Source organism: Homo sapiens, chromosome 2, assembly GCF_000001405.40.
Source record: "Homo sapiens chromosome 2, GRCh38.p14 Primary Assembly".
In the NCBI taxonomy this organism is placed as follows: Eukaryota; Metazoa; Chordata; class Mammalia; order Primates; family Hominidae; genus Homo; species Homo sapiens.
The window spans coordinates 236,730,205-236,757,691 of NC_000002.12; the positions used below are offsets into that span (position 1 = coordinate 236,730,205).

General features: G+C 46.3%; 1 long non-coding RNA gene across 2 annotated transcripts; it reads right to left on the reverse strand.

Moving 5' to 3' along the window:
- Positions 1-1,318: 1,318 nt before the first annotated feature.
- Positions 1,319-13,335, reverse strand: LOC105373948 (uncharacterized). 2 transcript variants are annotated; one of them, XR_924022.2, is made up of 6 exons: positions 13,158-13,335; positions 12,182-12,378; positions 9,490-9,582; positions 5,326-5,428; positions 2,063-2,348; positions 1,319-1,614 (listed from the first exon to the last, which is right to left on the reverse strand). It is a non-coding gene; the product is annotated as an uncharacterized LOC105373948 (long non-coding RNA). The 2 variants fall into 2 exon arrangements; XR_001739953.1 differs by lacking the exons at positions 5,326-5,428; positions 9,490-9,582 and having other exon boundaries at positions 1,319-2,348.
- Between the last annotated feature and the right edge of the window lie 14,152 nt (positions 13,336-27,487).

The window sequence follows — 27,487 nt, forward strand, 5'->3', positions numbered from 1 at the left end:
TCCCTAACTGAAACAGAGAAGGAATAACAGCCTCCAGTAATGTTCTAAAAGTTTAAAAGTTAGTTTTTATACTTATGAAATGTATCACTGAGCATTAAACATCGTTTATCCGCATATTAATAATTCATTAGGTTTTAACTATTACATTCCAAACCACCAATGCAGCACATTGAAATAATTAGGCTGATCATTAATGGAGAAGGATGGGGATAAATGGTGAGTGCATCTACAGCTTTTTTTTTTTTTCTTACGAAAACAGCAGAGGGTAACAATGTTGTGACAAGGAGGCCGTTGCTTCGATGAGATTACAATCTTTGACCTCAGAAACTGCTGGTGGACTGTGAGTCTGGAAGACGGACCTGGCTTCTCTCTGCGGCAGGGAAGGCTGGGGTCACAGCAGGCCGGCTGGAGTTCTCTGGGTCACCTGGGGCTGCCAGCTCAGCTCGGTGGCCTGGCTCACATCCCCGGGCACTGTCCCGTGAAGTCACAGGAGCTGTATGCCCAGCCACTCTCCCACCTTGACAATTCTTCCTTCCCATTATTGGTCCTGCTAAATCTGCGCTGAGGCTTCCTAAGAGAGAACAAGTCCCCCGGGTCATCCTCAGGCCCTTTCAGTCCCTGTGCTGGCTGCACACAACCTCCCAAGCCAGAGTTAATGCACCCAGGGCTGACAGATTCAGCAAATTACAAAGATAGGAGCCCAGTTAAATGTGAATTTCAGATACATAACCAATAGTGTTTTAGTATAAGGGACACACTTAAACTAAAAATAGCCACTGGGCTGTTTCTCTGAAATTCAATTTTAATTGGGTGTCCTGTATTCGATCTGGCAGCCCCTGTGCACCACAAATCCAAACACCCACTAAGAGGTGTATTTCAATAGCATTTCAGGCAAGTGGTTAGTAATGGAAGGCAAGGCCAGGCACCGTGGCTCACGCCTGTAATCCCAGCACTTTGGGAGGCTGAGGCGGGCGGATCACTTGAGGTCAGGAGTTTGAGACCAGCCTGGCCAACATGGTGAAACCCTGTCTCTAGTAAAAATACAAAAATCAGCCAGGCATGGTTGCGGGTGCCTGTAATCCCAGCTACTCAAGAGGCAGGAGAATCTCTTGAACTTGGGAGGCAGAATTTGCAGTGAGCTGAGATTTTGCCACTGCACTCCATCCTGGGTGACAGAGCAAGCCTCTGTCTCAAAAAAAAAAAAAAAAAAAAGAGAGAACTTAGAAGGGGGAATATGTCCACCTCCGAGGGAAGTTCAGATTTAATTTAAACCAGGTGTTGGCAAAGTATAACTCATAGTCCAAATCCAGCCCATGGCTTGTTTTTGTAAATGAAGTTTTATTGGAATGCCACCGTGCCCATTCATTTACAAAGTCTCTATGGCTGCTTCCATGCCACAATGGCAGTGCTGGGTAGTTGCATCTGAGACCACATGTGGCCCATGAACCTGAAAGATTTAATACCTGGCCCTTTACGGAAAAAGTGTGCAGACTTCTGATTTTTAAGGCATGGCTGACAGCTGCCCGGAGCCGGCTCTGGTCAGAGTAAGAATATTCAGGCCCTGGGATGCCCCTGATGTCCTGCGTCTCACAGCATTTTTGTTTGCATTTGACCCTAAGAGAGAAAAAGAACCTAATCTAAGCATCTAGGACTCCCAGGCTGGGAGCCGCAGATGGGTCATTGACCCTAGAAAGTGGGGTGGCTACATCAGGCAGACTGCTTTGCCTATTCAGGACAGTCATGCGGGAGTGACCTCGTGAAGATCTTCAGAGTCCAGGCCCCAGGCATTTACCATCTCACCAGAATGGCCATGTCATCCAAGAATGTTGCTAGCCTGCTCACCCCTGAGATGAATATTGTGGGGTAAGAAACCATCGTGCAAGGCAAGGTCCTGTCACCTAGCATTTGAATCCAGCTTAACCTCGTCAGAAACAGCAGCGGGTTGCACAGGGCAGACTATCACGAGGTGCTCCTTGTCCAGGCAAGGCTCCCTAGGGCACTTTACCAGAGCCAGATCACTTACTGGGATAAAGGGCATGAGTCACAGGACCGGGCACGTCACCTGCTGGGAGATGCATCCTCATTTGCTGTGCTACCCTCAGCAAAGGCCGATCTGTGTCTCCTCAACCTGAGGGTCAGGGGGATTATCTTTGCTTCTTCTCTGACCAAAAGGCCATATAAACATTATCTGAGGGGAAGCAAACCAGAGCTGCCTTTCACAGCATGGTCCTCCCAGGAGAGCCTTCAGGTTACGTAAGCAGCTCAGCTGACTGCAGCAGCTCAGCACCAGATTCTCTGGCCCAGGCTCATGGTCCATCTGCCAGGAAATAGAAGCTCTGTTGCATTGCCTGGAAGAGATGCCACAAGAGGGAAAGGGGCAGAGAGTTAAAAAAGTTTAAAGAGAACAAGTAAATGACATTACAAGAAATAATGCATGAGAGTAAGTTTCCAGCCTTAAATGCACTGAAGTCTACCCAAGGATGTCTTATGTGGCAGCCAGTGACTCAAAGTGGCTAGTGACTTCCTGGTGGTTACCTGGCCTCCCTTCCTGGGAGTCCACCTGTCTAAGCCAGAGTTCATGGCAGGGAACACTTTAGCCCCACGTTGCTTTGGGCAGGTTCTATGTGGGCCCAGAGATTCAAACGACACCTTTTCTCTTTAGTTGCCATCTTCAGGTGCACGATGGGACCATCGCAACCTGCAGAGGAAGGGATTCCCTCACTCTCTTACTCCCTAACCCATTCATTCACTTTTTAGTATTTTTCTCATTCACGTATTTAATATCCTACTGTGCTGCATATGGTTAGATTTAGTTCATTTCTCTAGGACTCAATGGTTTTTTAAAAATGTAAGCAACAAACCAACATCTTACCCAGAATCCCAATATGTCCAACAAATAAGAGGTAGGTGGTAACTTTCAGGCAGATACAACTTATTATTTATGTATTTCTGTGTGCATGTATTTGCATGTATTTGGAAATCTTCTCCCTGGGCTCCTTACTCCCTCCTCCCCTGCCACTTTTCAGATTGGGGGAAAGTGTCCTCATTATTTCAGCTGAATTTGCAGCCCTGAGCCCCAGGGATGGAAGGCGTGAGTCCAGCATTGTGAGACAGCAGTGCCGAGAGCCTTCTCTGAGTAAGGCAGGAAGCCTTCCCAATTCCAGTCTCCAAGTTTTATTCTTTCCTGAATCAAGGACAATGCCAGGCTTTTGGGCGTGGAGGCCCTCTCTACATGAATTCCCATATGAGGCTCTTCTATTTCAACAGCCTCCAAATTGGAATGTATTTTGAAGCCCCCCATACAGCCCCCTGTTGTCATTGACCCTAAATCTGCAGGCACAGGAAATTGGTCCACACCCTGCTCTGTACGGCTGCCCTGTAAGTATTTGAAGATGGTTCTCTCGTTCTCCTGAAGTCTTGGGTTTTCCCCTTCTGCTTCTCACCATCTTTTCTTTCCATGGCTTCTCATGTATGGTGGATTTTGAACTTTTCCTGGACATGCTCTTTGAACCTCCTTCAGTCTACTAGTGTCCTTAAGGCCTCGTGTTTGTAGCTAAACCTGGCACTTTGGATTTGGATTTTCTGTAATGGAGCTGAGGTGATCCAGACATCATGCTCAGGGCATCGTTAACCAGCAGGAGATGGCTCAGTCCCTAGCAGCTCTGCAGTCTGTGAAGGTGCCTAAGTTTTCTCACGTGCATGCCTCTCTCAGTCACATCTTTTTCACTCTGTACACATTTAAGTGTATGTCTGAACCCAAGTGCACATTTTTTAATGATCACTATTGAATGTCTTTCTCTACATTTATTCTTCGCTCCAGTTATCAAGATGTTTCTAGACTTTCCCTTGGTCATTGTACTGAGTTATGTCCCCCAAAAATACATGTTCCACCTTCAACTGTGTACCTGTGAATGTGACCTTATTTGGAAATAGGGTCTTTGTGGATGTCATCAAGTTAAGATGAGGTTATACCAGAACAGGGTGGGCCCTATTCCAATGACTGGTATCCTTATAAGAAGAGGGAAGTATGGGGCTGGGCGTGGTGGCTCATGCCTATAATCCCAGCACTTTGGGAGGCCGAGGTGAGTGGATCACGAGGTCAGGAGTTCAAGACCAGCCCGGCCAAGATGGTGAAACCCCGTCTCTTCTAAAAATACAAAAATTAGCTGGGCGTGGTGGTGGGCACCTGTAATCCCAGCTACTCGGGAGGCTGAGGCAGAGAATTGCTCGAACCCAGGAGGCGGAGCTTGCAGTGAGCCGAGAACATGCCACTGCACTCCAGCCTGGGCAACAGAGTGAGACTCCGTCTCAAAAAAATAAAAAATAAAAATAAGAGGGAAGTGTGGACACAGAGACAGAGACACTCAGGAGGTGTTGATACCACGTGATGACAGAGGCAGAAATTGGAGTGATGGAGCTGCCAGACAAGGAATGCCAAGGATTCCTGGCAGCCCCCAGACACCAGGAAGAGGCAGGAAAGGATCCTCCCCTAGAGCCTTCAGAGGGAGGTGGCCCTGCAGACACCTTGATTTCAGACTTCTGTCACCTGGAACTGTGGGAGCGTAAATTTCCGTTGCTTTGAGCTACCCCTTTGTGGTACTTTGTTACAACATCCAAGGAAACGAATACAGTCACATAGTACATTGGTCTTTCTTCCCAGTTTTGTGTCATCTATCAATTTCATTAATTTGACAGGTTTCCATGCATTTCCCATGGATGTCTGTGGGTTGGTCAACTCTGGAAGCCATTCTCCTGATAGGCTGGGACCCACGGGAACTGGTCTGTTGTGGCCACCCAGAAAATTAGCATTGAGAGCCATAGCTTTGCCTGCTGCTCTCTACTAAGAAAATGAAGCTTCTCACGTTTCTTGTCAGTTACTCATCCTACCCTCCTGGGAATGACACCTAAAGGCTGTGATTGCACCGTGAGGTGACAATGTTGCTTTCCTATGTTCCCACTCTGAATGGCATTTGCAGAAGTCCCGGGAATGGGGAAGAACACTCTAAACTGCATGATGGAGAAGAAACTTGTTTCTTTACAAAGCATGGTATTTGACACAAAACGCTGTATCTGTACAATGATGCCTTATGAAGTTTACAAAATCAGGGCATCAATATTCTTCAAGCAATAGAATTACATCAAATATGTTATATATTATACAGTCACTACACAGGCAGAACAGAGCAGCTAGGCTGAGATCCAAGCACAAGAAGGACAGACTCTATCTTCTCATTTGGAAAGTGTCATGAAATTTCATTGTCTCCAGTTTGTATTACTAATATGTAATTTAGTGTTAAAATGTGTTCCATGAAAACGCAGTCCTACCAGACATTCTTTAAAACACAGTTTGTAGTCAGATGAGCTTCGGAAACAGCGCATATTATATTCTCCTCCTGGAGATTCGTAATTCACATTGTAGTATTAAAAACTAAAAGAAAAAAAAGCTGCTGTAAATAAACCTACTTAAGTTGTGTTTAATCAGTGATTTATACGCCTGCTTGAGCACCGGGCTCTTGGTTACTCACTACCTATCGCCGGCCTATGGAATTACTGCTCTGAAGGATATTCCTTGGGAAAGGCTGTGGTCCAATTTTCTCAAGGATTAGGACCATTTTCTTTGTTTCCAGATTCCTCCCTTTGCTAGGGCAGCCCGGTTGCAGGTGGCCCTGGTCACTGTGGGGCCACGTGTGAGGGTGCCGGGCAACGCTCCTTTGTAACTTTGTTGAAAGTTCATACAAACAGTCTAACTGAACCAGAGGTCAATGATAATTCCATTAAAAGAATCCTATCAGCAGTAATGCTTTTTAAAAGGGGAAACATGATACACAGTTCAAGTTGATAGTAAAATCCAGAAAGTTTGAATTCCTTTTGCAAAATAATTCAATCAGCATTATCCGTGAACTTTCACCAAGGTGGCTAAACAGGAATGAATACAGCCTGAGAGCCCCGCCTGCCTTGCCCCCACCAGCTGACATCACCATGGATGGAAAGTCTCACCTGTGCTTTGTCAGCAGAGCCCTGCAACTTTCTTCTCTCATCCTCTTCTATCCACTCAGACTCAGCCCAGTACAGAGCTGATGCCTGTTCAGATGAAAGCATTTGCTGGGTTTTAGCATTGTTCCTGCCTTCTCCACTGGTGGGTGTGTATGTGGCAGGGCAGGGGGTGGCTGGGGGGAAGCCCACCTTGCTGGTTAGTCGTGTGGGCTGTGTGTGTGTGCCCACATCTGCAGTGTGCTGTTGAGGGCAATGTCAGGACTGACCAGAGTCAGATACACACAGGAGCTTTCAAAAGCAGGAAGCGCCAAAGCGTGAACTGGGATCCAAGGAAAGAAGCTGAGGAAGGGATGAATGGGCAGTAGGAATCTGGGAAGCTACCGATGGGATATGGCTGGTGGAATCTGCAGGGAAGGCTGTGAGTTATGGATAGTGATCCCCACCTTGGAGTCTGAGCTCACTTCTCATGTTCTGTGGGACTCTCCTATCCTTAGATATCCCTAGGACATCACTCAAAACACATCGATATGTCAGATGGTGACAGGTGTTTGCAAAGACCTGGAGAAATCGGAACCCTCATACACTGCTGGAGGGAATAGAAAATGGTGCAGCCACTTTGAAAAACAGTCTGGAAGTTCCTCAAATGATTAAACACAGAATTACTATGTGACCCATTCATTCCACTCCTGGGTGTTATATCCAAGAGAAATGAAAACAGATCTACACAAAAACTTGTATATAAATGTTATGACAGCATTATTCATAATGGACATAAAGTATAAAAAACCCAAATGTCTACACCTGATGAATAGATACATAAAGCACGTTATATCCATTCAATGGGATACTATTCAGCCATAAAAAGGGATAAAGTACTGATAAATCTACCGTATGAATGAACCTTGCAAGCATTATGCTAAGTGAAAGAAGCCAGTCACTAAAGACTGCATATTCCATGATTCCATTTATATGCAATGTCCAGAATAGGCAAATCTCCAGAGAAAGAGGTTAGTGGTTGCTTAAGAGGGGTAAGGTGTTGATAATTGAAGGGTTCAGGATTTCTTTTTGAGGTGTTGAAAGTGCTCTAAATTAATGGTGGTGATGATGAAACTTATCTGCAAATATGCCAAAAACCCATTGAACTGTACACTTTAAAAGTGTATTGGGTGAATTGTAGGGTATGCATATGAATCTCAATAAAGCTGCTTTTAAGAATAAACAAAACAAACACACACACAACTACAGCATCTCCTCTAAGGGCCAAAGTGTGTTAGGCCCAGTAGCCCAAAGATGAGAAGTCCAAGGGGCTATTGAGACCCCAACACTTAAAGGAATCCAAGTCTGTGCTGTAAGGAAAATATCTAATTGCAAACTTTAGTAATATTTATTTGCTCTAAAAGAGTAAAAAAATATATATATGCACAAAAGAAAGGCAAGGGTATTATTTTGAACTCCTGTGCTTTCAGCAGGATTTAAGGGTAACCTCGTGATGGGCAGGAAAACAAGTGAAACAGGACAACAAATGCACCCTGAAGCCTAGGGTATGGAGTGGACACTGGGCTCTGACCCCTGCACTGGGACCCTTGGCACAGAGCAGCTGCTGGGCACCCCCAGGCTGGGGCTTGGCTTTAGTGAGTGAGGATGGAGTGGATGCCTCTCCTGCCATGCTCTGACCTTGAGGGTTGTGTGAGTGGTGACGGGGAACCTGCTGAGGATCAGTTCCCCAGCCTTTTGGTTCCTGCTACTGTAGGTGAGGATGAGGACTGGCAGGGACAAGGACTGCTGGTAGCTGGGCTTCCCTCTCCAAGTGCCCAGCAAAGCTATGCCTTGGGGCAGCCCATCTCCAAGTTAGGAGGTCCCCCCTTTCTATAAAGACCCAGCACTGTCCCCAGCCTTCCCAACATGTCACCTTCTGTCTCTGCCTTCGATGCCTGTGCCATTCCTTCCCACCCCTCCCTGCCATCTTTTCATGTGACCAAGCATGTTTTTTCTCCTCTCCAAGAACTGAAGGCTCCTTGAGGTAGGGGCCACGTGTCTCTCACTTTTGAGGCTTCCCCCGAGCAGGCGGTGCAGGGTAGAGAGTGGAGCATGTGCTTGCCACCACCCATGGTGAACACTTGCAGGGGATGGTAATTATTTCTATTTGCCCCCTTTTAAACTATATTTTGTGTTGTTTTGCCAATCTAATCCTTAATTTAAAAAAAATATCCAGACATTGAATACATTTGAAGGCATGGACAGCTCCCGCTCTGTCTATACTGAAAATACGTCTCCCTTACTCTCCTTCCACCAAATGTTAGCTCTTGTATTTCTTGCTTCGTTGAGTTTCATGTTAGTTTGTTTGTTTGTTTGTTTATTTGTGTTTCTGGCCAATTTTCTGTCATCTCAAATTCCAAATTATTGGTATAGCTAATGAAGCCATGATGTACTATTCTTTGAGGACAAAGATGTCACCAATGACTGACCGCCAGTAGGACATGCACTGTGGAGTGGCTTCTCTGACTGGAAGGATGTATCTAATATTTCTACTGAGTTATTGATACATATAGTTCATCAGGTAGGAAGGTGTCAGAATAGAGGGACGGATGGATATGTGGATAGATGGATGGATGGATAGATAGGTGAAAGGATGGATGGATAGATGGATGGATGGATGGATGGATGAATGAATGTGTAAGTATTATAGATAAGTGGGTGGGTAGATGGATGGATGGGTGGATAGTGGATATGCGTATGGATGGATGGTTAGATGAGTGAATGAATGAATGAATGGATAGATGGGTGGGTGGACAAGTGAATGTGTGGGTAAATGGATGAGTGGGTGGGTAGATGGGTGAATGGATGGGTGAATAGGTGGATGGATGAGTGGTGGATAGGATGGATGGATGCATGGATGGATGGATAAATGGGTGGATGGATAGGTGGATGGATAAGTGATGGATAGGATGGATGGATGAATAGGTGGGTGGATAGGTGGATGGATGAATGGTGGATCGGATGGAAGGATGGATGGATGTATGGATGGATGGATGGATGAGTAAATGCATGCATGTGTGGATGAGTGGGGGGTAGATGGACAGATGGGTAAGTGGATAGGAGGAAGGATGGGTTGGTAGATGAACAGTTGGGCAGAGAGAAATTCTTAGAGCTGGAAAGGACATTAGCCCAAATGACCCCTTTCCCAGGGAAGTCACATTGTCTAGTAACAATTGTATGGACACTGGGGTGTGACTGCCTTGGTTTAAGCCCCAGCTGTGTTGCTGCTCTGCTGTGGCTCTTGGGTAAAGGACTTACTGTCTTTGATAATTCATTTCCTTATCTGTAAAATAACACAATGACAGTATTCACCCCTGAGCTTCCTGCAGGAACATCAGGAGGTAATTAGCACAGTGTCTGATTTATTAATAAGTGCCCAAGGTGATAGCTGTTTTCCTTTTTTATAATTGTTATTTACAATTGAATGAGGAATTGTCCAGAGAAGTTTGGGGGAATTACCTGAGTCCTGCACAGTGAGATCATGAGAAATGAGGTCTCTCTGGTTCTCAAGAAGTGCCTTCCATTATAAAATGGTGTCTCTCTGGGTCAAGACTATTCAATGGCCAGGAACCAAGGAAAACAAACAGAGATGCAAGTGTCTAAGCACTATGATAATAAGGGTGTACCCACATATCTCAGGTCTACAGTAAGTTTCTTCATTTGTTCAGCAAATATTTCTTGAGTGCTACCATGTCCTCAGGGCTACCACATGCCCAGTACTGATCTAGATGCTGGGGGAAAAAATGAAACCATAAAAAAACTCTTTCTTCATGGAGCTTATATTCCAGTGGGGTTGGAAGGATGGAAAACAAAATAAATAAAAACCAAAATGTTGAATTGTGCTAAATGCTAAGAAGAACAGAGCAAGTAAGAAGGAAGTAGGTCAGTGTGTGTTTGTGTGTGTGTGTGTGTGTGTGTGTGTTGGGAAGGCTGTAATTTTAGACATAGTGGCCATGGAAGGGGAAGTGACAGAGGGAGCCATGGGAAGATGTACAGGAAGAGCATTCCAGGCAAATGGAACAGCAAACGCAGGTGACCGGAGTGTGGAGAGAAAGCAGAAGCCAGTGTGGCTGGAGAGAAGTGGGAAAGGATGGAGCAGTGACCGAGGGAGGAGGTGATCATCTTTGGAAGGATTTTGGCAAGGCAGGAAGCCACTGGGGGTCTTTAGATTTTAGCAGGAGACTTGAGCTCTTTTGTTATTGTAGCAGTATTTTAATCTTTCATTGGGTGTATTACCATTCTTTCCTTTTTCCCTTCTTTATAAAATTACTTTGAGACAGGCCTGGTATTTGAAAACCAAAGATAGAAAAAGGGACCTGGCTCGGGTCACACTCATCTTTGAGGAAGACATCCAACCCATCTCCTTTGATTACACCCGGAATCACCAATCCGGGTACTCCCCCCGGACCTGACCCACATCTCACCTCCCGCTGGACCGTGCTGCAGGAAGTGCTATCTGAGGCCTCTCCTCCTTCTCAGGAAGGCCTGAGAGCTCCCCTGGGGAGGCTCCTCTGAGTGCCTGGAGAGGTTAGGGAGACCAGCAGGTGAGGGGAGGGACGGCTTTGCAGGGCTGGCAGGCTCCTGGTGCTCTCAAGCACTGGGGGCTTGCTGGGGAGGTGGATTAGGCCTAGGGGCAGCCTGGCCCCACTATGGCCCCATAGGGCACTCACTCCTAAGGCACCTTCTCTTCAGGTACTCACCAGGAAATTCTAACTTCAGGGATTTAATGTTTCCCTCCAGAACTGTAATTCCTTTTTTTAAACTAACCCTGCTTTTCAGTGTGGAAGCGTGGAGGAAGCTGCAGGGCCTCCACGTTGCTTCAGCACCAGGGCTGGAGCAGGAAAGCCCACCCCACTCAGGGCCATGAGGTTGCTGTGGCGGGGCCTTTTTCTCCAAGTGATTTTATATTGTGTGTTTCCTTGCCTCTCAACACATGGAAATGGTGGGTTAAGTTCTACATCCATTGTGTTTCTGTCTATTTCCTCTTGATATTTGAACAGGATTCGCTTGGTATAATTCAGGGCTATATCACAAAGCAATGAAGGTTCATGGCTATGATGTCTTTGTCTTGGATTGTGTATTTAATTCCTATAAAATGACCAAGTCATGCTTTAAATGCAATGATAGTGCCGTCCCTCCTTTCATTTTGCCTAAATGACTGATATATGCTTTTGCTTTTTCACTTTTCCAAGTCATTTTGTTTAATGAGTCTCTTGAAGGCAACATTTCATCGGATTTACTGTGCAACCAAATATCTGTTCTGAGACGCCTTCCTAAGATGCAGAGGTGAGGCGAGCCTGAGCTGCTAACAGCATTTATGACACTGCAGTGCAGTCTTTAAGTAATGATGTAAGTTTTCAATTCCCCTCTTCCCCTGGACCCCCCACCCTGTCTGACCTCTCAAGGGAGCTTCATACATAGTTTCATGGACTGTTGGTAGAGATTATATTAGGGGCTAATTCTACACTCCTCTTGAATTTTCATTGAAATAGACTCTGGAGAAACACACCTCCAGGACATTCCATATCTGCTGAGAATGCAATCATTTTGATGCAAACTGCTAATAGTAATTTTTTTTTTTTTGAGATGGAGTCTTGCTCTGTCACCATGCTCGAGTGCAGCAGCGCGATCTCGGCTCACTGCAACCTCTGCCTCCCGGGTTCACGCCATTCTCCTGCCTCAGCCTCCCGAGTAGCTGGGATTACAGGTGCCCACCACCACACCCAGCTAATTTTTTTTTTGTATTTTTAGTAGAGATGGGGTTTCACCATGTTGGCCAGGATGGTCTCAATCTCCTGACCTCGTGATCCGCCCGCCTCCCAGAGTGCTGGGAGTACAGGCATGAGCCACTGCACTGGGCCAATAGTAATATTTTAAGGGTAAGAAAAATCAGTATCTTATAGAGTATCAATGTGCTTCCATGGACTGGTCTTGTACCTGCGGGTATCAGCCATTGCATTCGAGCAAGTGCTCCAGCCAGGAAGCTCCAACAGAAGCCTGCCCTTCCATGTGAAGATCTGTAAACCACTGGGAAATGAGATATCACCAGCCTATGGGAAATACACAAGACCCACTCCAGCAGGGAGAAACTCCATTACATCTCAGCCCATGTGACTGACTCAGAAGGCTGTGGAAGCAAATATGTACTCACATGCTCCAGCGTGAACTCAGCTCAAGAAACAAAGTGACCTTGGTTGTGCTTTGGGCATAGGTGGAGAAAAGATGGAAGAATAAGACAGCAGGAGGCTGACCCAGAAGAGCAGGTTCTGGGGAACTCTAGAGCAAGATGTGTCTCCTCTGGTTTAGCAGAGAACAAATATGAAGAGTAGGAATTCCCTGTAGGAGTCCCTGTAAGAAGAGCAGAAATGGCACATTATCTTCACTGCTTCTCACCACTAATTACATAAATCTAGAAGCTACTGTAAATGGCTACTTTTAAAAATACACTATTTTCGAAAAAGCTTGGCTGTGATGTAGGGCCTATAGCCCCAAAGGTTAACAGTATAGCAAACAAATTAGAAAGCAAGAACCCAGAAACAGAAGAAGAAAACGTATTCCTCAGAATGGACAATACATTGAGAATAGGCATTGCATTTGTTTCTGAGCATCCCAAAAAAACAGAGAGAAAAATGAGGCAAAAAGTTATATGACATGGTTTCCATTTTCAGAAAATAGGAAGTATTTCAGTTCCTCAGGGTTGACTCAATTGTCTCTGGAAATGAATTATTAAAACCAGAATTCCACTGCAGGACGATGGATAACATAATGAGAAAAGGCCTAAACAGTGTTTTTACAACAGATCTAAGAGCTATTTTCTTATGACAATTTCTTGCAATGAACCAAAGGCCAGGCATTGGCATGAAAGTGTAACTCAATAAATTAGATCCTGGATTAGGTTAAATTTCTGTCGTCCGAGTATGCAGCCTCTGATATCTTAATGCGATCCAGAGATTAATCTGAGGGAAGCAAGAGAGACACAGGGCAGCTGTGTCCACGGCTCAACGTCACTTCTTTTAGTTGGGACCTGTTTGGAGCTCCCTGGAAAGGCCTGAGGTCTGCAGTTCCTCACTGCTGACGGAGCACAGCTGGTGTACTAGGAAATCCAGGGGTGGGCTGGCAGGACCCACCAGCTCTTTCCAACACTGAGAAGTCCGTAGAGTGCTGTCCCAAGGGGAGGCTGCCTTCCTCGTCCTGGGGAGGGCTGTCACAGGCAAAATCCAAGAGTCTCTTCAGGAAGTATCTTTGGAACTCGTCTGACTTTAAATCTTGTTCTTAGTGAGACCCCAGAGTTCCACACTTTATGGAGTCCAGCAGAGACAATTAGCACCTGGAACATCTAGAGTGTAAGTGTTACCAATTGTTGTCACTGGAGACCTAGGAAGATTCCGGAGATAGCTTCTCTTACGTGTCTTGGAGCAGCTAAGGATGTGGAGGCTCTCACCAGGACAACCGAGCTTAACACATCAACTAGCTCATGAACTTACAGAGTGGCGACCCATGAGTTGTGGAGATTGTCTGCAAAAACAATGGTTTTAGGTCTGACATAATTCAGCTTGATTCATTCTTCCTGGCTGTGGTCAGATCTTTTGAGATCACTCCTAGTTCATGATAATAAAACTGTGTCATTAGCAGAAAAGAAGAGATTTATCTTCATTCTTACTATATCAGGGGACACACACGCAGTTCTTTAAAACTCTGTTAGACTATTAAGATACAAGTTCATGGGTAAGGATAGGAGGAGAAAATCCAGCTGCAACCTGGCATCACTGTCTGTTGGGCACCATTTCTGTCTCTTCTCATTTATGTCATGGTTTGAAAAAGGAGATCATGCCAAAGCCTGCAGAGCTGAGGAATTGTATAATTGCTTTGTTGGGCTGTACACCTTTGGCTTTTAATATGCCTCAGATTCCTAAGTTACAACCCTTTGATTTTCTTAGCTATTGGTACTGAAAGAACACCATGCTACTGAATTCACTCTCAGGGCTGTCAAAAAGAACTCTGAATGAAAATAATCAAAATTCATCCTGCAAATACAAAAATGCTTCGTGAAAATCACCAACACATCCCATTCACGAATGCTTCTGCATGTCAGCTGTACTTCATTAGCTGTAGACATTTCTTAAGCGCTTCATTTTGACCACAAATATGAAGTTGCTGACCATTGACTGTTCTCTTGGAGAGAATTACTGTGTGCGGTTGCTGAGTCAGCGCACAGACCCCCACAACAGACACCTTGGCCAAGAGACAAAAGAGAGGGGCTGCGTGCATTTATCAGTGCTTTAATAAGGCCTGCAGATTCTTCTTTCTTTGCCAAAAAGCGGAAAACAAAACAAAACATGGTTAGAGATGCAAAGGAAAATTGCTTCATTCAGAAAAAACAAAGCACAATAGTTTCTAGGGAGATACAGAGAGATGCAGCTTGTTGCATTTTTGAGGTTATTCCCTTTAAATGTATTATTTTGGTGTTTGCCCCAGATTTCCACTCATCACTGAACTTTGGCTAATTGCTCTGAAGGCTAAGAATAAACACAACATTCACACAAGCCTGGGGTGGGGTGGACAGCCACTCAGTGTCCCTGCCATGGGTTTCTGAACACACATTCATGACTTCCCCCCTTCCCCACCCTCAGGTACCCCATGTCTCCTGGAAGATGTTCCTTAATGCTGAGCTTCTGCAATGGAATTTAGCCTCCAAGCCACAGTTGCTATTTCTCTTCTAGCTAAAAACTTCTATTCATCAACCTGGGTGGTCTTTACAATATTAATAGCCGTAAGAATGTGAATTATTTACAGAATTTGTAGACATTATCACCAAAGGAGTAAATCAACATTTGCTTCCATTTAGAACCTAGATATTTGTTAAGAGATATTCTTAAAGTACCATTCTTAGGTTGCTGGAGAGCGTCTTCAAGGGTAGATAATTTCAGGAAACACATAAGTAGGAATTTGTTTCTGTCAGTTCTTTGTGACTTTCCCTCTTCCTGTCTCTAGGAGGGCTTTATAAAACTTTCTGAATGGTCCTCCTAAAAAAGTAATCTGGGAAAATAGATCCACACAACTATATCAATGTGAAATTTCACATAGATTTGAAGGGCTAGTGCAGTAATTTCTCGGAAAAAAATCATTGGGGATTTGTTAGATTAGTCGTGGTAGATTTGGGGGGTGCATCTCTCTTCTTCTATTAATAGAATAGCAATGAAACTTAAATAATTAATATAAATTCTAATTTAGATTAGAATTTCTTGATGTTCGGTTGGACAACTAAGATGCCTTTGTGGGGTTAACTAACAAGGACCCAACAAGTCCCAACTAACAAGGAAGGTTATTTGCAGGGAAAGTGGTGTTAAGGAGATCTGAAAGAGGAGGGCCAGGCTCCATAGCTCCTTGGGCTGCCACTCCTGCTCTGGACAGAATGGTATAAGAATATAGAACTGTTGGAAGCCTCTTAGGCTAGAACCCAAGATTACTTTACTTTGGATCTAAAAATAAAGTTCAAAATTCACAAAATTTATACCAGGAGTTTGTGTCTTCTAAATAAATTCATTTTAGTAATTCCTCCAGACTGATGGTATCTCTGTGTATCTTAAGACAAAGGTACACACATTCCTCTTCATCCCCAGCTCTAAATAGAAAAGGCAAAAGATTTGCTTTTCTAATCGTGTTCTGCATTGCTTTCTGTGTTTGCCCAAGTACATACCTGTCTCATGAATAAGCTCTCTGGTAGGAGGGCTGAGGCACAGTGAACAATCCCCCAGGGCGTGAGACACAGAATTGCACCAGTGGCCTGTCTGCCACCCAGCTCTGAAACACAAGCAGGCTTATCCCGTCAAGATTGAACCTGTGTGCTGAATGCTGTGAGCTCCCAGGCCAGCATGAGGGTGGCCAGGTGGGGAAGATAATCTGGATTTGCATGCCAGCTCCTTTGCTGGAGATGGCTGATGCTTTGTGTTTGTTTCGAATATTATTTCCATGGTTCTTTTATTAAAATCAGCTGTTGGGCTCCCACAAATTATTCTTAGCTCGACAGACCAAAACAAATGTCAAATAGTGAAAGTGTCATTCGAGTCCTAAAATGGGGAGTAGGCTGTAATCTTGTGTCTTGTAAAGATATAAAAATAGGACTAGGCAGAACCCTGTCTAAGGTATAAAAGAAAGAGAAAATCAGTGCAGAAGACAGAGTAGGAGATTCAGCTAGGATGGAAGATGAAAAGATACCCTTGGCTTTCTAGAAGCTTTCCCAGTTACTGTTTTGTTTGTTGTTTGTTGTTGTTATTTATCTTTTTAATTTCATCTCTTCTTTAAATCAGCCCAACAGAAACAGAAAACAAAAGTTCCTTTCAGTTTTATCAAATCTGGAAAAAAATCATTTAATCATTAAAAAAGTCTACTGTGCTACTTACAAAAACAAAAAAGTTGACTATTTCCCTCTGCACTGCTCTCCCCTCTTGAGATCAAGTATACAGAAGCACTTCGATGATCAAAGCATGTAGCCCCATCACATCAAGAGATGAGGATATCAGCTCCTTTCTATTTATTTCTATGGATAGGAATAGTGCTGTTATGTTGCCTCATCTCGATGGATTAGTGGAAAGCATTATGCTCTTCACAATGACCGTCAATACCCTAGGTGAGAGGCAGGGCTGGCCTCAGCAATTCTTCCGGGTGACAGCCTCTAAGCAGAAGCTTGAGGGGACAGTGCCATGGCAAGGCTGCAGGTGGGTGCCGGCAAAGCCAGACATCGGGGAGCTTGCAATTCCAATAACCCACCCCCTGGGACCCACAACAGGGAGGGTCATGACCCGAGAGCCACACTAGCGAATCGCTCCATCTACCTGGCAGGACCACCACACACGGTCCCCCCATCTCAGAACCCCATCTCAGCACCGGGGCTGTGGGGCAGGCGAGGCTTTGGGTAGTGGACAGGGCTGTAGAAGGACATTTCCTGGATCGCAAGACCCCTCTTCCCCTCACCTAAGCATTTCTCTGAAATCCAGGATGCAATTCCATTTATGTGGAAGTGTTTCCTTATTATTTCTATTTTAAAAAGTATTGTCAAAGCCCCTTATCAAATCAATGGTGCATCTGACATAAACATGAAACAGTCAGATGCCATCGTGGTGTGGCAGAGAGTGATGGGAAGATGAGGGGGTTGATTTTTATTCTTCCATTAAATGTCTGGGTTGACCCTGAGTGGAACTTAAATTCCTTACCTACTTAATTTAGTGTCTTTATCTCTAAAATGAAGAGGTTAAACTGGATTATTTTCAGGGTCTTTTTTGAACTAGCAAGCACAGGAGTCCACACATAATTAAGCGCTGCAAACGTGGGGGCGCGGATCAGAGTGGCCAGAGGCAAAGCAAGTTGTATGAGGCTGATGGAGGCAGGTCCCGTGGGATGGGAGGCCCCTCAGAGGGCCTGCAGGGAGCCCGTAGAACTCCCTGGGGACAGGCCTGAGTGCTCTGACAGGGGGATGGGGAGGTGACAGAGGGAGGCTGGGCACTTGGACCTGTGTGAGAAGGAGAAACGTGAAAGCAACTCTGTACCCAACAACAAGCAAATAAAAATGTAGTTCCCCCCCACCATGTGCCATCATGATAAAAGCAAAAGATGGCACTTTGTTGTTTTTAAAAGGATATTCCTTGCAACCCAAATATCCCCTAAATAATTTGTCACCCCTTCAGTTATGCTCCAAGTGGCAGTTAAGTTTCCCTTGGCACACAGATCCACTGGAGAAATGGAATATTTGGTTACATTCTCCTGTAGAGGGAGGGAGGCCTGAGGGTGTGCTTGTGTTTCTAGGAAACAGCCGGTGCTTCAGCGCTGACCCCACACCTGAGTGACTGTCCAGGTCTGGGCAAAGGGAAAGCCGACATTAGTGTCTGGGGACAGCATGCTCATTGCAGCCTGAGGCCTCATCCTCAGCCCACACACTGAAGGTGTGAGACGTGCAGGCCCCCACATGGGGACAGACCTCCTTTCTCCTGTTTCTGCTCGGACAACCTGTGCAGCTCTGCTCACTGCTGCTGGAGTTTGGGAGTTGGGACCCCCTCTCTACCATGCACACAGAATCCCCAAGCCCCAGACATCCAGGAAACACCACCAGATCCCTCATGTCTTGGTTCTGTCTTTTTCAGGCCCCCAGCAGGAAGTGGCTGGCTCAGGAGGTGGTGTCTCAGGTACTGCAGGAGTCATCCGTCTTCTCTTCTGCACTGGGGAGTCATTCTCTGACCTTGGGTTTACCTTTCAGAACGCTCCCAGCTCTGGACACAGGGCTTGGTGGGGACCTCCTTCGGAAGTGTCACCCTGAGGCAGAGCCAAATGCCGCAGCAACCGCCTCTCCTCCACCCTCTTCCTCCTTCAATGCAAGATTGCAATGAGATTGGCCCATAGGGCGGTTCAAAGAAGCAAAAAGTTATGATTAGGAAATACCGGTATTAAATAATTTCCCTTGGTTTCATTTCCTCTTATGACTGAATCCCAGCAGGGCCTCCCAATTCTTTTCCTTCAATTGGCTGTTTTATGTCCAATTCCAGGACGGGCTGGGTCCCGACTGTAAGCATCCCCCAACCCTCCCAATCCCTCCTTTGAGTCCTGACCATTTAGCCCAAGACAATTTTAAAATCGCAGAAGCTTAAGGCTGGAAAGCATTTTGACAGGTCCCCCAGGCTAACGTTATATGCGTTTTCTCCTGTTTTGCCTGAATTGAGCCAGAGGAGGGCTGAGCGCCTCATGTTCCCCTGAAGCATGCGGGCTTTGGAGGTGGCCAGGCTGGGCTGGCTCCTTCAGGGACAGCCCTGAGGCTCCCTCCCTGCAGCTGCTCACGCTGCAGCTGGCCTGCTGCCTGGACTTTCAGGGAACACCTACAGTGGGCCAGGCATTGTATGAAGGTAACTAGAACTAGGCTCCTGAAAACTTTAGTGGAAATAGCAGCGCTTTGCATTAAGTAAGATGTGGGCTACCTTACCCTCCAGAAGGGAGAGCATGTCCCAGTCCACATGTATTTCAACCAGTATCTTTTTAAAGAAGAATGGTACAACTAGAATACTCAGGGTGTGGCCTGGCTGGTGCCCAGGGTGACGGGGCCATGCCTCCGTGGGGACGCCACATTTGTAACTATGCCTGCATCTAGACCCATCTAATGTTTTAGTGTGTGGTTGATGAAAGCCACTGATATTTTTCTGCACCATGCTTTTGAAATTTGATATTTGGATGAATTATTCAATTCCCCTGATATTTCTGAGCTGCTTTTTCTGAGTCAGGCACTGGTGGTTTGGTGACACACAGGGAGACGTGCTCCAGGCCCCCGTGGCACTCACAGTGCAGCAGGAAGACAAATCACCTGCTTCACACAAGTCGGTGTTTGGTTACAATTGTGGGAAGAGTTTTGAGGAGAGGAAAGTGTGCTTGCTGAGGAATAATGGCCAGGAAAGGATTCCTGAGGAAGGGACATTCACATGGAGACCTCCAGGATCACTGGTGTCAGCCCGGAAGCAAAAGGAATTCCCAGGAGAGGAAAGAGCTCATGCAAGGACCCTGAGACCTCACACTGGGCGGAGAGAGACCCTGAGTCTCCACACTGAGCAGAGAGAGACCCTGAGACCTCATACTGGGTGGAGAGAGACCCTGAGTCCCCACACTGAGCAGAGAGAGGCCGAGTCCTCACAATGGGTGGAGAGAGACCCTGAGTCCCCGCACTGGGCGGAGAGAGACCCTGAGTCTCCACACTGAGCAGAGAGAGGCCGAGTCCCCCCACTGGGCAGAGAGAGACCCTGAGTCCTCACACTGGGTGGAGAGAGACCCTGAGTTCCCACACTGGGCGGAGAGAGGCCCTGAGTCCCCACACTGGGCGGAGAGAGACCCTGAGTCCCCACGCTGAGCAAAGAGAGGCTGAGTCCCCACATTGGGCAGAGAGAGACCCTGAGTCCCCACACTGGGCGGAGAGAGGCCCTGAGTCCCCATGCTGGGTGGAGAGAGGCCCTGAGCCCCTACACTGGGTGGAGAGAGACCCAGAGTCCTCACACTGGGTGGAGAGAGACCCTGAGTCCCCACAATGGGTGGAGAGAGGCCCTGAGTCCCCACACTGGGCAGAGAGAAGCAGAGTCCCCACACTGGGTGGAGAGAGACCCTGAGTCCCCACACTGGGCAGAGAGAAGCAGAGTCCCCACACTGGGTGGAGAGAGACCCTGAGTCCCCACGCTGGGTGGAGAGAGACCCTGAGTCCTCAAATCAGGTGGAGGGAGACCCTGAGTCCTCACAGTGAGCACAGAGAGATGTAGGTGGAGCTAAGGCACACAGGGGCTGAAGACCAGGCAAGGACATGACTCCTCATCCTAAAAGCAACGGGAAACCCAGGCCTTTGGTCTAGACTTATCCCATATTAGATTGGCTTTTTCAAGGGTCAGTTGGGACACTGTGTAGAGATTGGCGTGGTCTGGAGTTGGAGGAAAAGACAGCAGGCAGAAGCTGGATCCAGGTGAGTCATGAAGGTGAGGCTTCAGAGGGCAGGTGTATTGAGAGGTCCAGTGGACAGGACTTGGTAATGAACCGGCTGACCAGCTTGTAGACTTGGCAATGGAGGAGTCAGATGCTCTGAAAGGGATCAGGAGAAAGGAAGAAGGACTGGGAAAGGGATGAGGCAAGACTTACTCAGAGTTCTGTCTGATGTGCCTTTCAGTCCTCCGTCTTAGCCCATGCATACTACTGTAAAGAATACCTAACACTCAGTGGCTTATAAACAACAGAAATTTATTTCATATGGTTCTGGAGGCTGGAAAATCCAAGATTAAGGTGGTGGCAGGATTGGTGTCTGGCGAGGGCCTGCCTGCTTTCCGGTTTATAGATGGCACCTTCTTGCTGTGTCTTCAAATGGTAGAAGGGGTGAGGGAATTCTCTTGGGCCTCTTTGATAAGGACACTAATCTCATTCATGAGGCTCTGCTCTCACGATCTACTCACCTCCCAAAGACCCCACTCCTAATACCATCACTTTGAGGGTTAGGTTTTAATGTATGAATTTTGGGGGGAAACAAACATTCTGACTGTAGCTCCACCCACGGGAGATGTCAAGCATGTTGGCGGCTATGCTGGAAGAGGTATCAGAGAAGTCAGAGAAGTTCTCTGTCCTGAGCACCAGGAGAAACCTGGGTGCTCAGGGGGAATGCCTGGCCAGAGACACAAATGTGACAGTTGTTAGCAGGAGGATGTAATACCAGCCTCCAGCAATCTAGCCTTGGACAAGTCTGGAGGAGAGCTTACAAAGGCAGAGGAGAAAGCCAGCACAGAGCCTCAAGCCTCTCATATTTTAAAGAGGGGTTTGCCTGATGCTAATGCAGGCCACACATGGTATACACCGACGGCGCCCCACCCCCGCCCTGTGTTCCTGTGTCCTGGGTCCTGCTCTAATCACTTCACCTGCGTTACCTCATCGACTCACCCTGCAGTCATATGAGGTGATATGCCATCACTCCCATTTTACAGAGAGATCAACCGAGGCACAAAGAGATTCTGCAACCTGGCTTGGGCAGTCTGAGTTCTTCACCCCTGCCCTCCCTGCATGCAGCGAAGCAGCCCAGGTAGGGGCTGGGTAAAGTGGAAAGGCCAGGACCTCTGCCAAGGAAAGAGGTGACCACTCAGCTCTGGTGTCTTTGCCCTGGGGCAGGGAGGGCCGGGGTGTGGGATCTGGGCCTTTGGAGTTTTCAAGAGAATCTGGATTTCTATGTGTAGTTTACCAGTTTTTAAATACTAGCATTTGTTCACATTTTTAAAAGCACTGTTGGGGCAAAAAAAAAAAAAAAATTGGGGGGAGCTGACTTCAGATGGTAAGATTTTAAATCTCCGTCTAAGTTGCTAAGAGAAGAAATTTTAGGCGCCCTTACCGTGAAAAGCGGTAATTATGCGAGGTGATGAATACGCTAATTTGCTTGACTGTAGTAGCCATTACATCGTGTATGTCAAAACAACACCCTGTATGCCCGCCTTATAAATACACACACAAAAAAAGGTTGGAAGAGAAGGGGCTGTTCCAGGATTTGGAGGAATAGGGGTGCCCAGCGGGACAGAAGTTCTGAGCCCTGTCGTGGGCCGAAAGCCAGGGATGTGTCTGCCCAACAGAACTTCAGTTTATGGTTGGCTTCCTCTGTGCACATGTTGCTAGTCAACACAGGGACTAGTCGAAAAACTAGGTTTTTTCCCTTCCTGTGGTCAATCCTCTGAATTTTCTTCTTGTTTTCTTTGTGCAATCTTTCATTTATTTCAGATTCCAAGGCAGAAGTCACTGAGAAGTTGTTCAGTGACCAGGGTCAAGGGTTGGCCGTTTCTAAGGCTGAGTGTGGCAGAGGGCACCAGGAGCTTGTCTTGCTGGTGGAGCTGGGGAACCCCAGGACCCGTGCGCCTCAAACCTGGGCCAGGAGTGAGGAGCTGGCCTCCCCTAGGCTGAACTTGACTCACAGACCGGTTTGGTGTGGGCCATCCAGTTGAAAGGAGTTGTCAATGTTTAATATTTGCTAGGCTTCACAGAAAATTTAAACTTGGAATATTTTTCTGAAAATGTGGATGATCAGGACCAAGTTATTCTCCCGTAAGGCCACAGTCTGCTGGAGGTAAGTGGTGCTGACCACATTAGTGGGGGCTCCCTCTCCCCAATTAATGGCAGCCTCCCCTCCTCTGCTGTCTTCTCCTTGGCTTACTTTACCCATTTCCTTTCCTGCCTGGACTCTCTGCACAGGTGCATTTGAGACCCTGCAGGAAAGCTCAGCAAACTGAACAGCGCCCCCAAAGCCCTCCTCACTCCAGGAGACACAGGTGGAATTAAGGGCTGAATAATCAAACATACCCCCTGACAGCTCACACTGGCCCTACCTCATGTCCCTAGAATCACTGTCTGGGTCCCTAGAATCACAGCCCCTTGCATCAGTGGCAGAATTGGAGTGTGATTTGGGGGCTCTTTACCCTGTTCCTGGTCCCCACATTGGCTTTTGGGCTTTTGGGCTTGGAGGGCCACTGTCTGGTACTGACTACTTCCACCTTGGAGTAAAAAGATCTGGGCAAAAATGAGGCATCCAAAAAGCAGTGAGTGTGCCTCCGTCTCCTTCCCCCGCCCCAAATCCCTTATTTTGGCACTGATTTAAACAGGAGTAACGAAGTCACCTGAGGGCTCCCCCTCCTCCAGAGTCCTTGGGTCCCTGCAGTACTTAATTCCCATTCGGCCTCACTGTCCTTCAGACCCAGGCTTGGCATCTGGGCTGAGCCCTATCCCAAAGTGGTTTCCATGCTCAGACTGAAGCAGGATATGTGCTTTCTCCGTCCCCAGGGAATGACATCTCCAGCCAGCTCTTCTCCAGAGAACCCTGTTTCCTCTCTCCTGCTTACTCTTCAAGACTTCCCTTTGATGTCACCTGGTCTGTGAGACAGCCTTTCCTGGGACCCCCCCACGGAGAGAGAACCCACTCATAAGACTCCAAAATGCCAAGGCGCCCAGCTTCTCATGCCCACCTCTGAGCTGTGAGGCAGAGGCCTGTTTATTTTGGGTTGATGAGTAAATCATGTGGAACAGAATCAAAAGCTCTGCTGAAGTCAACACAGATGACATCTGTCACTTCCTCTTAATCCATCAGTCAGGGGGAGAGGGCATTGGATTAATTAGACAGGCTCTTTCAAACGTTTGCCAGCAATGACTCCATGCCCTCTTTCTCTCATGCACTGGTGAAGGAAAACAATGAATTTTCACCCTATTGTTTATCTTAGAAGGGTCAGGTTTTGAGGTCAAACATCAGTGTAAAATTTTGTCTTAAAAAATGCACATGCATTCTAACTGCTAATAGCTCATATGCCCATCTTTGAAATCAAAGTTCTTGTTTCTTTACGAATGTGCCCACTGCAAGGATATCAAAGCATTGGCAGACATTAAGTCAGTGGCTTTGCCTAAGCCAGGCTTTCTCTCATTGAAAAGGGAGGGATCTATTTGGGGAGAGAGTCTCTGGGGGCCGTGATTTATCCAGTTTGATTACATGGAACACTGGTCTCTGTTTATTTGCTGCAACATGGCATCTGCCTTGGGAGGAGATGCTCCACAGTCGACTAGAGCCTCTGCCAGCTGTGGCCACTTGTCTTCAGGCTGCACCTGTGTGAGTCCCTTACTCGGCTCACTGAGCATGACTCCTTCTGACCTCAGGGAATGAATGGCCTGTTTCCCAGGCACAGGACAGATCCTGAATGTCCCCAACCCTGAGAGTGTGTGCGTGCACCCTCCTCTCTTGCCTGATCTCGTCCTGGCCTTGCCCTGGCACTTGTTCCTCACTGTTTGGTTCACTAATTTGCTGTTCAATATAGAACTTTGTCCTTTCCTAACATGCTTGGAGTCCCCTGGGTCTTTCATTCTATTCAGTTTTCCTGAAACTAGCCTTGTCCTCATCCAGCCTTCTGGGCCTATGCGAGAGCTGCCTGGATTCCTCACTGGGGGAAGCGGAGGCAGGAGAGGAGGGGCCTTGGATGTGAATGCCAGCTCCTCCACTTACTACCTGGACCCTGCCAGAGCCACTTGACTCTCTCGGCTTCTGTGCGTTCATATTTAGAGTGCGCATAACACAGTCGGCCCTTGAACAACACTGAACTGCAAGGTTTGAACTGCAAGGGTCCACTTACACACAGATATTTTTAAATAAAATTTACACCAAGCTTGCCTTTCTCTCCTGACTCCCCTTCCACCTTTGCCGTCCCAGAGACTGTAAGACCAACCCCTTCTCCTCCTACTCAGCCTCCTCAACATGAGGATGAGGAGGAAGACCTTTATGATGATCCACTTCCAATTAATGAATAGTAAATATATTTTCTCATCCTTATGATTTTGTTATCAACATTTTCTTGTCTCTAGCTTACTTTATTGTAAGAATACAGTATACAATACATATAATATACAAACCATGTGCTAACTCATTTTTTAAGTTGTTGGTAAGTCTTCCAGTCCACAGTAGGCTATTAGTAGTTAAATTCTGGGGGAGTCAAAAGTTATGTGTGAATTTTAAACTGCTCAGGGGTTGGTACCCCTAACCTCCACATCGTTCGAGGCTCAAGCGTCTTATCTTTCTTAGAGACTTGCTATAGGGATTCAGTTAATATAGAAAAATATGTTTGGATCAATACTTGGCACAGGATGGTACTGTCCTGGGAGCTGTGCCTGAAAATAAGCTGTAGAAGGAAACATAAGACCTCTCCTTTTGCAATAACAAGAAACCATTAGATAAATCAAAATCAAACACTCTTGTGAAATTGTTGACACCCATAATGTGTAAAAAGCTAAATTCCAGAAGAACCAGCCCTTCCTGCATGATCAAGGGCCAGTTGTTGAGGTTGAGGCCCAGCAAGGAAAAGAGCAAGCCCCCCGCAGAGGCCAGTCTTCGCCAAATCAAGGAGAAAGCAGGCAAATGTTGCCAGTCAGCCAGGCTTGTGTGTGGGTTTGGCTGTGGAGGAACTCCAGTGTGCTAAGGGTTCTGTCTGCCTCTCTCCTATGGGAATTCCTCTGAGTTATCAGGGGTTGGGGATAGCAAAGTCATGTGACTGGCTGTTCTTCCATCTAACAGTCTTGAGATTTCACAGCCTCAAGGTTTATCATTTTGAGATCTTGCAATATTGAGGAGTTTAAGCCCAGAGCCTTTCTTGAGAGAGAGGCTGCAACTAAGCAAAGCTGCAAGCAGGTTTCCACCCAATTCAACTTCAGATGAAATCAAAGATACCAGTCTAGTGGGAGTTGAGGAAGTTGGAGGCTAAGCTGAAAAGCAAAGAGAGATCTCCTTGATCCAGTTGGAGTTGAGTTGATTGTATTCCTTTAGGAGGCCTTAAAAGGCTTTTATGCCTTTGTAGGGCCTTAATGTTTAAACACAAGGAGTTTAACTAATCAGCTCCTCACCTGAGATATGTAATAAAAGAAAGGACATTCCGTCTGATGGTGAATTTCATACATGTGTGTGTGTTTCAGCCTTTACTTTCTAGACACAGTGTCCAACATACAATTTTTTTAATGGTAAGGCATGGGAGAAGCAGGAGAATATGATCCACAGTCAAGAGTAAAATCTGCAATGGAAACAGGCCCACTGATGATCCACATACTGGAATTACCAAAGACTTTAACATACCTATAGTAAATATGTTAAAGAAGCTCAGGAAAATATGAGTGTAACTGGCAAAGAAGAGAAAAATCTCATCAGCCATGAAAACAATAAAAAAGAACTAAGTGGAACTCTTAGAATGAAAAACTGGAAAATGTAATAATTGTAATAAAACATTTTCTGGATGGGATAAAGAGCAGATCCCATTAAACAGAGAAAAAAATAAGTGGACTGAAAGATCAATAGAAAAATTATTGTGTCTCCAGTTTTTTTTTTTTTTTTGAGACAGAGTCTCGCTCTGTTGCCCAGGCTAGAGAGCAATGGCATGATCTTGGCTCACTGCAACCTCCGCCTCCTGGGTTCAAGCGATTCTCCTGCCTCAGCCTCCTGAGTAGCTAGGACTACAGGTGCCTGCCACCACATCTGGCTAATTTTTGTATTTTTAGTAGAGACGGGGTTTCACTATGTTGGCCAGACTGGTCTTGAACTCCTGACCTTGTGATCCACCCGCCTTGGCCTCCCAAAGTGCTGGGATTACAGGCGTGAGCCACTGTGCCCGGGCTCTCCAGTTGTTTTTTTAAATTGAGGTATAATTGATTAATTGATATACAGTGAAATGCACAGATCGCAAGTGTGTGGTTCGATGACTGGTGACTATTGCACCTGCCTATGTAACCCACATTCCTCTCAAGATGGAACAAGTCCAGCACTGCAGAAACATTTCTTGTGCTCCTCCCTAGTCAGTCCCCACCCATCACCCAATGACAACCACAGTTCTGATTTCTTTTACCATAGAATAGTTTTTGCTTTTCTAGAACTTCTTAGGAATGAAATTATACAATATATAGTATTTTGTGTCTGGCTTTTTTTTTTTTTTGCTCAGTATAATTGTTTTTTCAATTAATCCATGTTGTTGCATATATCAGGCTTTTCTTTTTGTTACTGAATAGGATTCCATTTTATGGATATCCTACAATATGTTTATCCACTCTTTAGCCCGTTTCTGGACTGATGGTCACTCAGCAGCCCCTTCTATTGGCCATGCCAGACACAGGGCCCAGGTAACATAGGGCCAAGGTCACACTTCTTGTCTGTGGTTTTCATGCCTTTTCAAGTTAGAATTGAGTAAGAAACCTTTCAAACCAAAATATAGAATTTTGGATGGTAGTGGAGGGGGCATTGGGAGGAGTAGAGCCCCACCTAACCCTCACCTCCCTCAGGAACTTGGAGGGAGCTCTTGGTCTGAAGGATGGTGCCCAAATGAAATAAAAAGACATCCCCAGCTCATCTCCCTCCTCAAAGCTTTCCCAAGGCTGCCTGGACCTTCCCCAGGATGGTCTAATTCTTGTTGCTAATTAT